The sequence below is a fragment of the Homo sapiens genome, chromosome 3 (genome assembly GCF_000001405.40).
Source record: "Homo sapiens chromosome 3, GRCh38.p14 Primary Assembly".
Lineage (NCBI taxonomy): Eukaryota > Metazoa > Chordata > Mammalia > Primates > Hominidae > Homo > Homo sapiens.
Genome location: NC_000003.12, coordinates 61,970,690 through 61,987,817, shown reverse-complemented (window position 1 = coordinate 61,987,817; position 17,128 = coordinate 61,970,690). Strand labels below are relative to the sequence as shown.

The window sequence follows — 17,128 nt, the reverse complement described above, 5'->3', positions numbered from 1 at the left end:
CTAATTATCCTGTCTACAGCTTAAATTTTCTTCCAGATGCCAAAAGAATCCATTGAAAAACCAAATAAAGTGATTGTTGATTTATTAGATGGCTGACCAAAATAGGAATTTTACTTAGCCACAATTGAGTTTGTAAATCCAAATTATGGAATCTAAATGTTTTAATATCATAATATCATATGTGTATGTATGCATGCCTTCTAGAAACTTACAGTACAATAAAATTACACTCAACAGAGAAAAATGATATGGGACACAGTAAAATAAATCCAAATACATATGACTCAAATAATAGATGCAAGCCATCATTTGTAAAAACAGATACCTGATAATTCTCCTCCTACTACTAACAATTTAAAAAATACTCTGCGATGTCAGAAAAGTACTTGCCATTCATATTAGTTCTCATAACCTTCCAGACATGGGTAAAATACAATTTATCACTCTATAAAAATATAATCTGGGTTCATACCAGTGGGATTCATTTATTCACTGGTAACAATCTGAAGCTTTAAGCCAACTACATGCTTGCTTTCACACTTCCACCCAATATACATTCAAGTGCAATTTTAATTGAAACTGATCTTCCACTTCAGATTTCAAATTAATTCTTCTTTGGAGTACTTCATGCTTCAGACACCCTTGCCTTGCAAAAACCCCTATGTCATTAGCAGAGGAAATAGAACACTTTTTCCAAGCTTGCAGATATTGATTATCTATTCTCACATCGAAGCACCATTGCCATTCCACACTGTATAAATCTCTTCAGTGTTAAGACACTTTATAAAAGACTGAGAATTATACCATTAATCATTTGCAGTTCCACAAGACTCATAGTATTGAATGCTTTGTTTTTCACAAATTTGAATAAATACTTTTAAGTAAAAGAAAAAAAAAAGATACTAAATAAAGACTATGGTTAACTTAAACCTAGTTGGGAAGAGATGAACACTTAACAAGAAGCCTTCCTCTCTCAGACATGATATTACCCATCTAAAATAAGAATAAGAAGTCACTTGCACTTTAGTTTCCTCTTACTGACTCTTTCTTAGAAGTAACAAGACATCTGTATTTTGGCAGCAAGATCCTTCTGAGTGGCTCACCAACTCCAACACGTCAATCTAGTACACAAGTCCGTGTTCTCAAAAGGGAAGAGGTAAGGGCGGGGTAGAAAACACAGGGCAATTTGGGCTGCCAAAAGTAATTTCCTGTTCACCTGATGAAAGTCTTAAAGAAATGAGATTTTGATTGAGACATACTGCCAACCTCTAAGTACTAAGGGAATGTAATAGTGTTTCTCATTCAACATGTGATGACAAATATATCCTTTTTAATGAATTCAATAAACACATCTGAAACCCCTGGCTAAAAGTTTGATCTCAGGGTAAACGTCCCTTCGTGAGAGATACACAGGGGTTCTTGGTTTCCTTTGGACCCCATTATTACTATTATACAATTTACCATTTATATCTAAATGTCTGTCTTCCCCACTGGTGGTAAACTCTGAGAACTGGTTCCTTCTGTATCTTGTACAACTTCATTCCAATGCCTATCACAGGGGCTCACATACAGTAAGCCCTTAAAACATATTTTTAGGTACAAATGAATGAATTGAAAGAAGAGAGAACTGAAAGAAGACATTAAAGAGTGGCAGAGTTCCACTCTTTAATATGATGATTCAATCATATTAAATATGATGATTGTCGTATTAAATATGATTGTTCAATATGATCATTGTCATATTTATTTTAGTTTGAGTTTACCCATCTATCTACTGACTTCTTGCTAAGTATTCCTCACTCCCTTGGTCTCCAGAGCCAGGATGTCAACTTCAGGAGTAAATACTCCTTTTCGTTCTTCACTAATATATTAAATTCGTTTCAACTGTGACAAGGTAAAATAAGCTGCAAATATGAGATGTCCATGAAAGAATCCATGTGCAAATTTAACAAGCCCAGCAAAGGTGACTATGGCTTTTTAAAGAAAGGGTGCAGTAGAACTCTTGCTTTTGATGCCTTCTGCGAAGCATCATCATTTTTAAACTGCTCTTATTTTTTCTATGCTTTAACAGACCTCTGTAATCAAAGAAGGTCAATCAAAGAAGAAATTTAGTCTTAATGATCAATCCATCACTGTTATCAATTTAAATACAGAATCGACACTTGCTCAGTCCTAGACAGGGCTGAGAAATGGGACATAAGGAGCAGGGCTGCCCCAGTTCCCTTGGACAATTTAAGCTGCCTGTGGCTCACAGCCCCTCCTCTGTACAATGAGGTACCCAGATACCAAAGGGTAGCTGTAAGGATTATATTAGATAATCCATGTGCTTAGAGCATTATCAAACACTAAAAGTTCAGTAAGTGCTGCCCACAATAATTACTGCCTCTGTTACTGGCTTGTAAATGTATAGCAGACTGTCAAGAAACTGACTAGGCAATGGATGAAACAGACATGTAGCCCACCCAACGGCTAAGGCAGGTGGGTGCAAGCATTTCATGGCATGCAAAGGGAGAGGAGGGGCCCCACCTCCCCAGGAGGGAACTTATGGTGGCGGTGACACTTGAGTGAAGTCACTTCCTGCAGTGCAGAGAAGTTTACTAGCCTGTGGTCATCTTACTCAGGCATTTCCCATTTGGGCAGAAGCCAACAGTCAAAAGTAGAGTTCGCCCCTCTGGCAAGAAGAACTTAATCCCATCTTTGGCTAGATTTAGTGAGTAAGTTCCCAGTGGAGAGGCCTAGCAAAAGTCACCTTAGTCAAATGATGAAGGTTAACATCCCCAGTGAGACCACATGGCTATCTTGGACATCTGACAGGAAGTGGTAAGAAGGGCAAATCACCTCCGTGGTATTCTTTCCAAAAATTCACAACCCTGGTATAATCATGGGGAATACATCAGACAAACCCAAATTGGGGAACATTCTATATAATTGACAAACATTCTATATAATTGACAAACACTCCTCAAAAGTGTCAAGGTCATGAGAAAGACTAAAACACTGTCAGAGATCAGAGAAGATTAAGGAGACACAGACAATAAATAGAATGTGGTGCTCTAGATTGAATGGTGGAATCAAAAACAAAAATTAATGGAAAAACTCATGAGCTCTGAGTAAAGTTTGGTGCTCAGTTAATAGTAAACACACCCATGTTGGGTTCCTAGTAGGTCCTTGTCAAAAGGTCATTCTTTTGTGGCTACTCTGACAATGAAATGAAGAAATTATGGAGCAAACTGCATAGAAGCCAAGTAAAATATAAGTTGTGTTAAATAAGTTAAATTTTACTAACCAGGTTTTACTGGATTTACTGGTATGCACTTAGGCCGTGTCTATGGCATGATAGATGAGGGAGATGGGCACTGATTTATGGGTAATACTGGGATGACTGTCATATTCTTTTTGGATAAATGGAGTCTGCAAACACAAAAGACGAAGGAAACAAGAGACTACGGTAAAGAAAATAATCAAGTTCATGGGTGATATTATTTAAGCTTATATAAAAACCTTATATAAAGTTGGAGAAATTCAGTTTTTAAAGCTGTCATTAAGAAAAACATCATTAGCTTAACCTATAGCTCATTTCTGCATTAAAATAATCCACTTCTACCTCCTTAGTGTGCCATTCACAAGTCACTGTATTTTTCTCATTTTGAGATGTTACAATTCAGTAGACTAGCATCAGGAAGACATATTTCCACAGTAGGGAGAATAAATCACACAATTGGAGATTAATTCCAACTGGTCTGTTTAAGGCAGATAGAATTCCTCACATGAAAATAATGGCAAATACTGTAAATCTGGGCTTGAATCTGAGACTTCACTTCATACTCAGTTTCTTTAAGGCAGAGTTAGCCCAAAGAACTTGGTCGACACATATAAATTTTAAATCAATGCTAGTTAATTCTATTCAAACAAATATCATATAAAAATCTGAGAGAAACACCTTAATGTTGCCCTACCATCAGCCCCAGCAATACTACTTGAAAAGTCCAAATAAGGACAAATAAAACTGGTCAACAACAAGAATTTTCTACAATTTAAGCAAACTGTCTCACTTCAGTATAGTTCTCTGTTAATAACTGACCTAAGATAAAAGTTGTATGAGCATAGAAATCATACTTTTGTCTAAAAGCAAGGAATTTCACATACCTATATATGATTCATGTTCCAAACAGTGGTTTCTTTAAATACCTAAGAGGTTCTTTGCTGAAAATAAGCATGTACCTTGAATTTATTTTACCACAATAGATCCAAATAATGGTTCCTATTCACTAATGAAAAGCCATTAAAAATAATGAATTCTGTCTAAATCTAATTAAAAACAAAACTAATATACATGTTATGTGCTGTTTCTAGTCAAATATGCTTATTAATGCCTCTCTCAATAAACTTATATTACAAATATTACCTGAATCCAGGCTTATTACTCTGCATTTTGTTGTCTACTTTTAACCAATAGCAACAATCCAAAAATATGTGTATCATTTTTACCTATTATAATTAATGCTTTTTATCCGAAATCGAATACACAGGTTTAAATTATTCCATGTTTTAATTAAAATCTTTATGGGATTCTGATTACAATTCTTTTGCATTCTCCAGTACTAATAGCTTAATTACTTCTTGTGCATTTATTGTTTGTGTGTACACGAAAAATGGAAAAAGTCTTAAAAGGCATGCATATTACTGCTTGCCACTATTTTTACTTTATTCATATTCAGTTATAAAGCTGCTCAACTTTGTTGATAGAAATATTCTAAATTTTAAACCAGTTAAGAAAATATAAAGTTACTTTGCAAATAATGAAATACACATTTTTTGGTTTTAAATTTAAGGTGTAAAAACTGCAGTACTCCATTTCATATCAATGGTGTGCTTAAAGAAAACTATCAACAACTAACCATAATACCAGAAGTAATATCAGACAATAACACCAGAAATAGAAACTAACTACTTTGTTCATTTTTTAATACCATTATCTGTCTAATTTCCCAGGGTGTCTATTTTAGGACTGGATGTTAAAACTATTTCAGGTAAAATTTCATTCAGTACCAATGCCTAAACTGGAGGTCCCAGACTCTAATCCTGATGGTAAAAAGCTTCTCTGGAGCCTGTTTTACTGTTCTGGAAAAGGAGGGTATTAAAAAGAGTAAAGATGGCAATAATGGCTACCTTTTAGTTCTGAGCCACAGACCTCTAGGCTGAGTAAAGGCTCAAAAGGAGTTGACTGATTAGTGATGCCCGCATGGGTGTATAATATGACATTATTAGAGTGCAAACCATGAATATGCATGCCATCCACACACTGCAAGATTCTGAAGGTCCTTTAAAGACTTAAAAGTCTTTGACCTATGCATGTTTAGGTGTATCTGGGATTTAAAAGTTATATCTTTCAAGTTGAATCCACCCCACATCCAAACATTCATTAAAAATTTCTACCAATAATTGGGATCATTTATTCACCCCAAACCTAACTAGGCTGACTTAAAGTTGTACCAGCTTTATTCCTGCTTCTCATAGATACAACAGGAAACTGGCTTCAACAAGTATCTGAGATACTAACAAAGTTATCACAATTCTTACTAGCCAATGCCAAACATCTTAAGTGTTTATAAAATGGAGATGAGTTCGTTCCAGACCTGAAGTTTTCAACCTTAAAGTTAGGTACACCCCCAAATAGTCAACATTTTGACTAATATGTTCTTTTAGAATCCTGACTTTCCATCGAGACATAATAGAAACAATCATCCAAGGATTAAAAAGGTCATACAACAGAGTACAAAGAGCACTGGGCAAGGTGACTGGCAACTTGAGTTCTAGTTCAAGGCTAACAAGTAAGATTTACCTTGCATGTTGGCTCCAAATAACTCACAAATTGTATGACTAGTTATTCATAAAGACAAGATTAATGAGCAATACCTTTCTAGGGGGACAGTCATGTCACGTATTTGCTCTTTCCATTCCAGTTTCATCTCTGGAGAGTGGACATGAATATGGCAGTGGTGATGTTTTATAAGAATTCAATTTTGTTACATGTAAATTACAGGGTTACATTAGATCACCTCTAAAGCTCCTAAGAGTTCTAAATTCAATCGGAGCACGTCCTGTAATACCTGGAAGAATCAAATAGACACAAAATATTTGTTGATAGTCCAGCTGACCTCCAAACCCCACCAAGTACCTTACTAAAAGTAACCACAAGGATGTGATAAGGGTTTAATAAATGATTTACACCAACAGCATGTCCAACAGTAATTGGCACATACCAAGTACTCACTAAACATGATTATCCATACTTTCCTCTAGGAACACACATCCAAATACTAATATCTAAATGGCATGACCCTGACCCAGCTTCAGAAACAGCACTTGACTAATATATGGCAATTAGTGGAATCTCATCCTCCTTGACAAGAGATTGAATCAGCAAAGGGTGTTAACCCAGGCCTACGCCAGTTAGCGCCTGGAAGATTTCTCAGTTCAGAGGGTGATATGGTTTGGCTATGTCCCCATCCAAATGTCATCTTAAATTGTAGTTCCCATAATCTCCATGTGTCATGGAAGCGACTAGGTGGAGGAAAGTGAGTCATATGGGCGGTTTCCCCCATCCTGTTGCAGTGATACTGACTGAGTTCTCACGAGATCTGACGGTTTTATAAGGGGTCTCCCCCTGTGCTGGGCACTCAATCTCTGTCCTGCCACCCAGTGAAGAGGTGCCTTCTGCCATGACTGTAAGTTCCCCGAGGCCTCCCCAGCCATGTGGAACTATGAGTCAATTGAACCTCTTTTCTTTATAAATTACCCAGTCTCAAGTATTTCTTCACAGCAGCATGAGAACGGACTAATACAGAGGGACTGGTTTAGGTTGGTACTATTCACAAGGCAAGGCCCAAAATTTTGTTCAGAGCCTGTAGGGGAGAAGAGGCCCTCCTCCCTTGAATGTGAATGAAGAAGGAAGGGAGCAGAATGACCTGCAATCAGGAGGGAAGCAGCTGAAGGCCAAAGCTGAAAAGTAAAAAGACAGTAACAAGAGAAAGGGAGGAAAATAGAGAGGAAGATCTGATCAAACCATGTCTGAATTTAAATTTTATCTCTAGACTTTTCAGTTTTAACTGCCTTTGTATTTTAACCCATCTGAGTAGGCTTTGTGCTATTTGTAACTAATAAATATAGGATATAATCAAAATGGTGGTTTAAGAAGACCAACATTTAAATTATTCGATGTTTTCACTAAGACGAAAATGTCAAATTATAAAGACAAAAATCAGGAATGCATTCTGGATGGAATATATAAAAATAACAACCCTAAATTCCCTCCTCCTTCTCCCTCTTTCTTCCTATCTTCTTTCCCTATAAGAGAAGGACGAACTTGGCTAAGGTTTTAAAGATCTCATTTAGACAAAAAAAGAAGAAACAAGCTCTGAAGTCCATTGCTGTAAATTTTTACTGTTAACACAGCAGTCATGGGATAAAAATCCATGAAGCACTTAACGGGAACAGCTGCCTCTTGCTGAAGTTTTCTGCCTCAGAGACATGCCACCGCTCAAGTTATCATGTGGGAAAGACTTGCTGAGGTGAGCACGCACTATTCTGAAAAGTCAGAGATGCAACCCAGAGAGCAAAACAAAACTGGCAGTTAAGGTCTGGTTTAAACACGGCCAGGATTTCCTTTCTTTGTATGGAAGGGCTTTTTCACACCATTACTCAGTATCATGCTCCACAAGGTTTTGTTTAATATTTAAAAAGATGCTCAAGCTCATGAGAAATTTCAATCACAAGTAGGAAAAGGGAAAAATTCCCAGAGACAGAATTTGGGAGTTTGGTGTTTAGGAGGGCTGAGGGTCTGTATACCTACCCACTGACATAAAGGCTGAGAGGAAAAAAAAAAAGAAATTAAAAGCAGTTTTACAAGGCACTCACTCAACAGCACAGGGGCCTGGTGTGGATGGGATGTGGGACTAGGAAACACTTCACAGGGTGCAGACAGGATGATTAACTCACTTCCTGTGACAACCATAAAAGGAGGAACGTTTGCTCCAAAATATATTAACTATTAAATGCTATCTGGGGAAATGTCTAGACATAAAGCACCATATTTATGCGGTAAAGCCAAAACAACATGATGAATTCTGTGTCCCACTGTCACACTGTGAATACTTGATTTTAACTTGCACTTCTATTTCAATAAATTCATAGTGTAAGTAACTTCCAGTAAATGAGACCTAGGAAAAAAATTAGAGGGATTTTAGCAGAAATACTAGTCATAAAAGTCACCTAATCAGAGAGGCCTTCTGACCTAACTATCTAAAATAGCAACCTTAGCCACTCTCTATTTTGTTAGCTTTGTTAATTTCTCTTCCTAGTGCAAGGCCCATGAGAAAATGAGCCTCACGATGTCAGAGACTTGTCTATTTTCATATCTGTTCAACAGGGATAGGACTAGGGTAAGGCAAACAAGGCATTCACCAAAAATTCAGTTATCAAAACAAATAATATTTCAAAAGTGTCATAAAATTTTAAATGAGTTCAAAACATCTGTGATGAGCAGGCAAAGAAAGATATTATCAGTAACGGTGCTGTGCAAAGACTATTGGACTCTGAACCAAAAGGAAAAATCAATAATCAACCATATTGCATCAAAATCTGAATTATCTTGATAGCTGAGTTTTTAAACATCCAAGTCCTACTTCTGCTATCAAATGACTAACATCAACAATCCATCATCCATTTGGAGAATATTCACTATATCCATTGTAATGAAAACTTTCTACATTTTATCTTCTTCGATCCTTTCAACAACTCGTGTCAAATATGCCCTACCTTCCCCATTTTACAGATAATGAAACTGAGGCTCAGAAGCTAGAAAACTTGCCCTCGTGTAGTATGTGTAAGATCAAACAGTCAATTCCAGATCTACGGGACTAAACCATGCTCCAAAACGGGCATTTGCAAACTATGGCCTGTGAATCAAATCCAGCCCACAACCTGTTTTTATAAACAGTTTTATTGGAACTTGGTCATATCCGTTCATTCATATATTGTCTAAAGATCAGATTTGAGTAGTTTTAAAAGAGACAGCAAAGTCTAAAATATTTATCATCTGCCCTTACAGAAACTGTTTGTTGACCTTGGCTCTAAATCACAAAATATTGCTTCCCTGGCAGAAATACAGCACATAGGTAATATGTACATCTGCATACCTTATGTACCAGCAACTTAATACATATGTTTACAAGAAAGCATATTAAATTTCAGCAATGTTTATAATACGAAAGAATTGGCAATAATGCAAATATCCACCACTTATTTTATTACAAACTTATTTTATTACATAATACTATGCAATGGTCCAAAACTAGACGACCTTACTCTAGGACAAACTTCAAATGAATCCAAGATTTAAATGTTTAAAATAAATATATAAAAGTATAAGAAGCAGTTGTGGGAAGAATTAGAGTAGGGAAAGCATTTCCACATATTAACTAGAAGCCAAAAAAGACTGATAAAATCAAATACAATAAAGAATACTTAATGTTCTGCTTTGGAGGAACTACGGTAAAAAACATCAAAAGACAAATGACCAGCAAAACACATTTGCAATCCATACTGCAAAAGTAAAAGTTCTCTAGTACGCAAAGAGATGCTAGAAATCAATCAGCTCTAAATGTCAGTCAGGCATGGTGGCTTACACTTGTAATCCCAGCACTTTGGGAGGCTGAGGCGGGCAGATCACTTGAGGTCAGGAGTTTGAGAACAGCCTGGCCAGCAAGGCGAAACCCCGTCTCTACTAAAAATACAAAAATTAGTTGAGTGTGGTGGCAGGTGCCTGCAATCCCAGCTACTCAGAAGCCTGAAATAGTCTGGAATTCATTGGGGGAAAAAGTAAACCTCTTTAAACTCAAATTAAAAGACCTCTAAATTACATTTTTAATTGAAAAACCCAACATGCATTATGTTACACCATTTGTGTTTCTAATATGAGAAAATAAGTGGCCACACAGATTCCTTTTTACATGCATACAGTATCTCTGTAAACATATTTAAGACACTATAACATTAACACAGGGAGAGGAAATAGGAGCAATTTTTTACTACTTATTATTTTATACTCTTTGAACACTGAATCATATAAATATCTTACCAATTTAAAAGTTAAACTTTTTAAAAAACCATATAAATTTCAAATGGAGGTAGAAGTATCTAATGCCATTCTGTGAAAAAAAAAGCTAGTTGCAGAACTATTATTACAGAAATATATCACATCATGTAAAGAAAAAATAAATACAAATCAAAACCAGTAACGGTATATACACAAAAATTACAAGGCAACTTCCTAAACCATTAATGATGATGACTTCTGGAAGTCAAAACACATGCATGATCCAGGGAGATACTTATTTTGAAAATACATGTAATACTTCTATAATTAACCAAAAACATGTTAAAAAATTAGACACACAATTAGAGAACTCATGAGACCTGGATCTCAGGACATTCTCAATGAACTCTGAAACCCCTGAGGTTTTATCACATCATAGCATGCATTCTCAACAGGGGTGACACTGCCTCTAGTTGGGTGGTCTTGCTCCCGGTGAGGTAAAAGTTTGTTCTTGGAGTGTGGGGGGTGGGGGAGGGCAGAAATATTGTACTCTTTTTACATTTAAGGCACAAATATACATAGAGCACATAATCAGATATACAATCTATCTGTGGTATTAAAATCTCAGGGACTAGGGGGTGATTAAAGAGAAAATGTCTGAAAAGACTCCTAGGGAGATAGGCAATAATAAACAAGGTTGAGAAACAATGCATTATGGAATTATGTGGGAGAAAAAGACCCCTATAAGCTGGGCGCGGTGGCTCACACCTGTAATTGCAGCACTTTGGGAGGCCAAGGCATGGCAGAACACCTGAGGTCAGCAGTTGAAGGACAGGCTGGCCAACAGGTTGAAACCCTATCTATATAAAAATACAAAAATTAGCCAGGCATGATGGTGGGCGCCTGTAATCCCAGCTACTCGGGAGGCTGAGGCAAGGAAAATTGCTTGAACCAGGGAGGCAGAGGTTGCTGTGAGCCGAGATCGTGCCACTGGATGCCAGCCTGGGCAAGACACCGAGACTCCCTCTCAAAAAAAAATTTTTTAAAAAGACCCTACAGTCTTTTCCATGTGATGTTATATCAGATCCATATTAAAACAAATACTTCATTTGAAACTAAAAATGAGACAATTTATTATTAAAAAGGAAGTCAATATTCTATTTTATGTTAACCACATATGAGAACCCTGTAGGTTGCTAATATACCCATTAGTACAAGTAAACAATTAAGCTGATGCTGTGATTTAGACCCAAGTTTATACAACTCTTCCATTACACTGCATTACCTGTTGCTTCTCTACTGCATTATATTTAAATTTCACCCATCAGACCTCTTGGGAACTAGGGAGATCCTGACTGTCATCCAATTTCTGACCTATGCCTCCTGGCAACATTCACAAATTTAATAAATCCATCTCCTTTGTCAAGCTGTTTGATAAAAATGCTCAAAAGGCCAGGGCTAAAGATAGAACTCTCCATCATTACAGTAGTGCATTATCTAGAATTCCCAGGGAAGGGTTTTTCAATCTATTATGAATCCTCATTTCTCCATGTCAACTCTGAGAATATCAAGAGATATTCTGTCAAGGATCTCGCTGAAATGCATCCATGTCAGTTGCACTTGAAAATGTAGTAATGTTTTCCAGCACATTGCAGGGTTCCCAACAGTAGGTAACAAGGGACCTCCCTTGGGGAATATTAGAACACGGTTCTTCAAGGGTAGGACATAGAACTTCACCTTTGTAATCCAACACATGACAGTGGGGGCATTTGGCAAATAAAATTGCATCAAATAAATAGGGGTATACAAGGAGAATATATAAAAAAGAGCAAATCAGTGAAAACGTAAAAATGGCCGGCTTTCTTGTTTTTCATTGTGTCTAAATTTGTGATCGACATAAAATGTTTGATGAAAATCTTTACAGACCACAGGAATTATTATAATTTTAGGGGCTAAACAGATCATTGATGGAGGAGAAACACATGCAACTGTGAGAGTTACAGAAGCGATATATTTATATTGACAGCAAACAAAGTTGCCACCATAAAAAAAAAAAAGTATTCTTCAGAAAAATAGGTAGAATTCTATTTCTAAGTGAAACACAGTTTCATTTTAGGACTTCCATGGTGAGATGTGGCAGCTCACTGACAATGGTCATGGATGACGAAGACAGTGTTTCCGAAATGCTAAACCAAAAAGACTAGTGCTGGGAGATTTGCAGTGAAGAACCTCATTAGAAATAAAACATATTTCTGAGGCCCCATACAGCACCTCCAAGAGTGAGGTCAAGGAAACTGTTTTGAGAATGAGGAAAACAGCCAAGAACAATATGACAGGCTGATATGGAGTACTAGCTGTTACCAGACATTTGTGCTAAGTGCTTTCAAAGAGTCATCTCACATAATTCTCAAATTCACTGTAGGCCATAAACTTCCATATTACCCCCATTTTATAGATGAGGCATGTGAGGGCAGAGGGTTAAATAACCTGTCCAAGATCATTCCCCTAGTAAACGGTTTTTAACCCTTCACACCAATTCTTTATTAACAGGTAACATTTATAGGCCACTGACAATGGACCAACGTCCACAGATTACCTTATTTGCTCCTGACAATACTACCCTCATTTTCTGAATGAAGAAATTGCAGCCAGAAAGGTTATGCTATTTGGTATTTAGATCACACCATCAAGCAAGTAGTGAAAGCAAGATTCAAACTCAGAGAGATGGCTCCAGAGACTCTCGTTAAACTTCTTGCTATAGCACTATTTAAATGGTTGGTACTGGTGGGCAGTTAGGATGTTAGGCAAATCTGAAGGACAATTTCAACACAGACTTCAGGTCTGTGTCTTACAGCTGAGTTCAGCTGCTCCACAAAGGACAGGATCTCTCAGCTAAGGACATGCACTGGTGAGAACAGACTACCAGTACTGGGATCTTTGACCCTGTCTCTTCATAATCTGCAAAGAAAACAGTTATCATTATAAATGTATTAACAAAAGTACCAACGTTTCCAATAGAATCATATGTTTTTAGGTGGGGCACAAAGCTAAGTAGGTGGATAAAAGGAAATTAAGTGAGTAAGCAATTGCTTTTGTTGCCTAAAGACAGTCAGTCACGAAAAGGCACAGTGTTCCATAAAGGACATATTTAAAAAAAAATTTTTTTTTTAAGATGGAATCTTGCTTTGTTGCCCAGGCTGTAGTGCAACGGCATGATCTTGGCTCACTGCAACCTCTGCCTTCTGGGTTCCAGTGATTCTCCTGCCTCAGCCTCCCGAGTAGCTGGGATTACAGGAACCAGCCATAATGCCCGGCTGATTTTTATATTTTTTTAGAGATGGGGTTTCACCATGTTGCCCAGGCTGGTCTTGAACTCCTGACCTCAGGTGATCTGCCCACCTCAGCCTCCCAAAGGACATACTAAATTTGAGAAGATTAATGACATAAACGTTGCAAGATTAAGGTAGAAATAAAAACTGGTACAAAAAAAGTTCCATGTACAACTAATTGAAACCATAGGCCTTTGTGTACTAAGACAGTCTGCCCTATTTAAGGTATCAAAAGATTAAAAAATAGTTTAAAACAATACCAACACACTCTAAAAAAGACAGTCATGAGGCATCACAGTAACTTGTTTACTGGAAATGAAAAGAGAAAACTTTGGCTTAGAGTATGGCTCTGTGGTGTTGGTTCCACAGTTCTTCAACTACCTGTTTAAATATCACTAATACCATGAAAAAAAAATCTCTGACAGTAGTCTATGTACATTATCAAGAAGGCAAAGGAAAGCATCATTTGACAGTTTTGTGGTGGACTCCTACATGTCTGAGAGTTTTATTTTTTTAAAGAAGAAACCAATCTTTTATTTATTTATTTATTTATTTATTTTGAAATGGAGTCTCGCTCTGTCACCAAGGCTGGAGTGCAGAGAAGCCATCTTGGCTCACTGCAACCTCCACCTCCCGGGTTCAAGCAATTCTCCCTGCCTCAACCTCCCGAGTAGCTGGGATTATAGGCGCCCACCACCACGCCCAGGTAATTTTCATATTTTTAGTAGAGATGAGGTTTCACCACGTTGGCCAGGCTGTTCTCAAACTCCTGACCTCAAGTGATTCGCCTGCCTCAGCCGCCCAAAGTGCTGTGATTACAGGTATGAGCCACCGCATCTGGACCCAAATCATTTTCTTAAACACAATGAAGAGTCCTATTTGGCAAGATGCATAAAAAATACGATTAATAGGAAACTGAAGTTAAGATCCACAGCTTGCCAGTAAGCAGGAGACAGCACATACATTTTTCCTTTTAGATTCTAGAACTAAACCCTGAATGATGCAAGCATATGTCAATTCCCATCTACCATATTGATGAACTTAGCTGCAATACTTTAGTTCAGGAACTCCCATTCCAGAGAAAATGCTTAGTGATTTCCAAAACAGCTGGATCCTAGTTGTGAAAAACAAGTGCTCTAATTAGCAATTTAGAATTCCTTTCCTTGCAGGTAAAACTGCTAATGCAGACAAAGCTGCAATATAAAATAACCGTTTTCAGAAGATGCTGGACAAAGGATGAAGCATGCTGTAATCAGCTTTCATTCTCTTTGTATCCTCAGTTCTCAACTGCAGGACTACTTTTTAAGGGGAAATTTAGACCTTTCAAGTGTCTCGGCAGGACAGCTTGTTTTCATTTATTAGCATTAATTTTTCTCCCTAACTCCCTCCCGGACAGCACAGCAAATTCTTGGTTGTACATTCACAAAAATCCCAGGCCAGGCACAGAGATGCATGCCTATAAGCCCAACACTTTAGGAGGCTGTGGTGGGAGGATCACTTGAGCCCAGAAGTTTAAGACCAGCCTGAGCAACATAGGAGGACCCTGTCTCTACAAAAAAAAAAAAATTAAAAATTAGCTGGGCATGGTGGCACACGCCAGCGGTCCCAGCTACTCAGGAGTCTAAGGTGTGAGTATCACTTGAGCCCGGGAGATCAAGGCTGCAGTAAGCCATGATTCTGCGACTGTACCCCACCCTGGGCAACAGAGTGAGACCATGTCTCAAAAAAAAAAAAGAAAAGAAAAAAAAAGAAAAAGAACGAAGAGGGGAGGGGAGGGAAGAAAGAGATCCAGAAACTACTCCTTGCCCTTTCTAACTACTAACACTCAGGGTCCCATGCTGGATCACCTGTCCTAGAAATGACTGCAATTGTCTCCTAACCTGACTCTCTGACCCACCCTCCCCTCCCCTTCAGTCTATTATCAACACAGCAGCCAGGGATCCTGTTAAAACTTAAGTCAGATCATGTCACTCACCTGCATGAAACCCCCCAACAGCATGCTACATCATTCAGAGTAAAAGACAAAGACCTGAAAAATCATCTATAAGGCCCTACACATCTGGCCTCTGCCCAAATTTACCTCCCTGATCACAGCTTCTACTTCTCTCCCCATGGATCCCTCTACAGAAGCCAAACAGGCCACCTTGCTGTCCTTTGAACATGATCAGCATTTTTCTGCTGTCCTCAGCCTACCTAGAGTAACAGGCAACTCAGTCACCTTCTGGAGGTCCTCATATGTCACTTTATCAATAAGACCTATTCTGCCACACATATGTAAACCGTCTTCCATTGTGCTTTCTTCCTCTTTTTATTTTTTGCTTTGTAGCGCACACCTTCTAATATACAGTACACATTTATTTGTTTCGTATATTGTCTATTGTTCACTCACTGCCCCAAGGGAAATTCTAAAATGACAGCGATGGGCCCATTATATGCATTGCTGCATACACATGGGTCAATAAGTATTCTAAAACACACAAATAACAACGCAGTTTCACTTTATTTTTATTCTTTTTTGTTTTTTCTTCCTTGAAGTTTAACTTTAAAATAGTGGATTTTAAACAACTCTATTGAGGTATAATTTATATATGCTTAATGTCAACCAGTTTAATTGTACAATTCAATGACTCTTAGTAAATTTACAGAGTTGTACGACCATCACTACAATCTAGTTTCAGAACACTTCCATCACACCAAATGATCCGAAGAGGGATTTTTAACTGGAAGTATACCTATGTGACATCTCCTCTCTTGTTATAAAATGTAGTCAAACTTCTAGGAACAGTTTTGAAGCAACTTGCTCATGGACTAGTTACTCATCAACCTCTAATTTCCTTTAGTTACAAGATAATGAGTTTTAGTTCAAATATGGTACCCAGCACTGTAAGAGCAATGGAAATAAGTAGAATTTGATTCCGGCCCTTTAATCAAAAATATGGAATATCCATACAAATACTGATTTCCTAGTATTGCCTTGACAAAATGAGAAAAGGATTTTCTTCCTGGAATATCTTGACATGGTCCCAATGAGACCAAGTACTTCAACTGTCCTTCACTCAGATATGGCCAGGTAAGTACTTCCATGATGATAAGCCTACTTCTATTCGCTTCAGAGTTCAAACCCACCTTGGCCAACATGGTGAAACCCAATCTCTACTAAAAATACAAAAAAATTAGCCGGACATGGTTGGCAGATGCCTGTAATCCAGCTACTTAGGAGGCTGAGGTAGGAGAATCACTTGAACCCAGGAGGCAGAGGATGCAGTTGGCTGAGATTGCACCACTGCACTCCAGCCTGGGTGACAGCGACATTCCGTTTCAGAAAAAAAGACATGAAGTCCTCCCTGATACTACTACCATCACTAATATTCAAACCACACTGGGGCATCAATGAAATATTGACAGAATAGAGAATAAATAAGCAATATTACACTCTTAAATTCAGGATTTTAGACAGTTTCAGAAATAAGTGGCAGGTATAACTTTCCATATATGGACTCACTTGGTTCATAAACTCAGGATTTTAGATGGTGTCAGGAATAAGTGGCAGGTATAAGTTCCCATTTATGAACTCATTTGGTTCAAATTCCTTTATTGGGTGATTCTTTCCTAACCTACCACTGCAGATGTACCAAGTTCAAAGCCAAGAAGAATTAAATGTGACTTTAAGATGCAGATCTAGATCCTAGAATTTTTTTAAGAG

General features: G+C 37.7%; 1 protein-coding gene across 7 annotated transcripts in view, besides 1 other annotated feature; it reads right to left on the bottom strand.

Moving 5' to 3' along the window:
* The window catches only part of PTPRG (protein tyrosine phosphatase receptor type G), a 736,039-nt gene that overhangs the window by 309,792 nt on the left and 409,119 nt on the right, over positions 1–17,128 (bottom strand). The gene's annotated exons all lie outside the window — the stretch shown is intronic.
* Positions 2,489–2,783: an enhancer, noted in NCBI's record as "tiled region #14465; HepG2 Activating non-DNase unmatched - State 23:Low, and K562 Activating non-DNase unmatched - State 24:Quies". NCBI's record gives its function as "activates a minimal TATA promoter and a strong SV40 promoter by Sharpr-MPRA in HepG2 and K562 cells {active_cell/tissue: HepG2 | K562}" and the evidence as "EXISTENCE:reporter gene assay evidence [ECO:0000049][PMID:27701403]".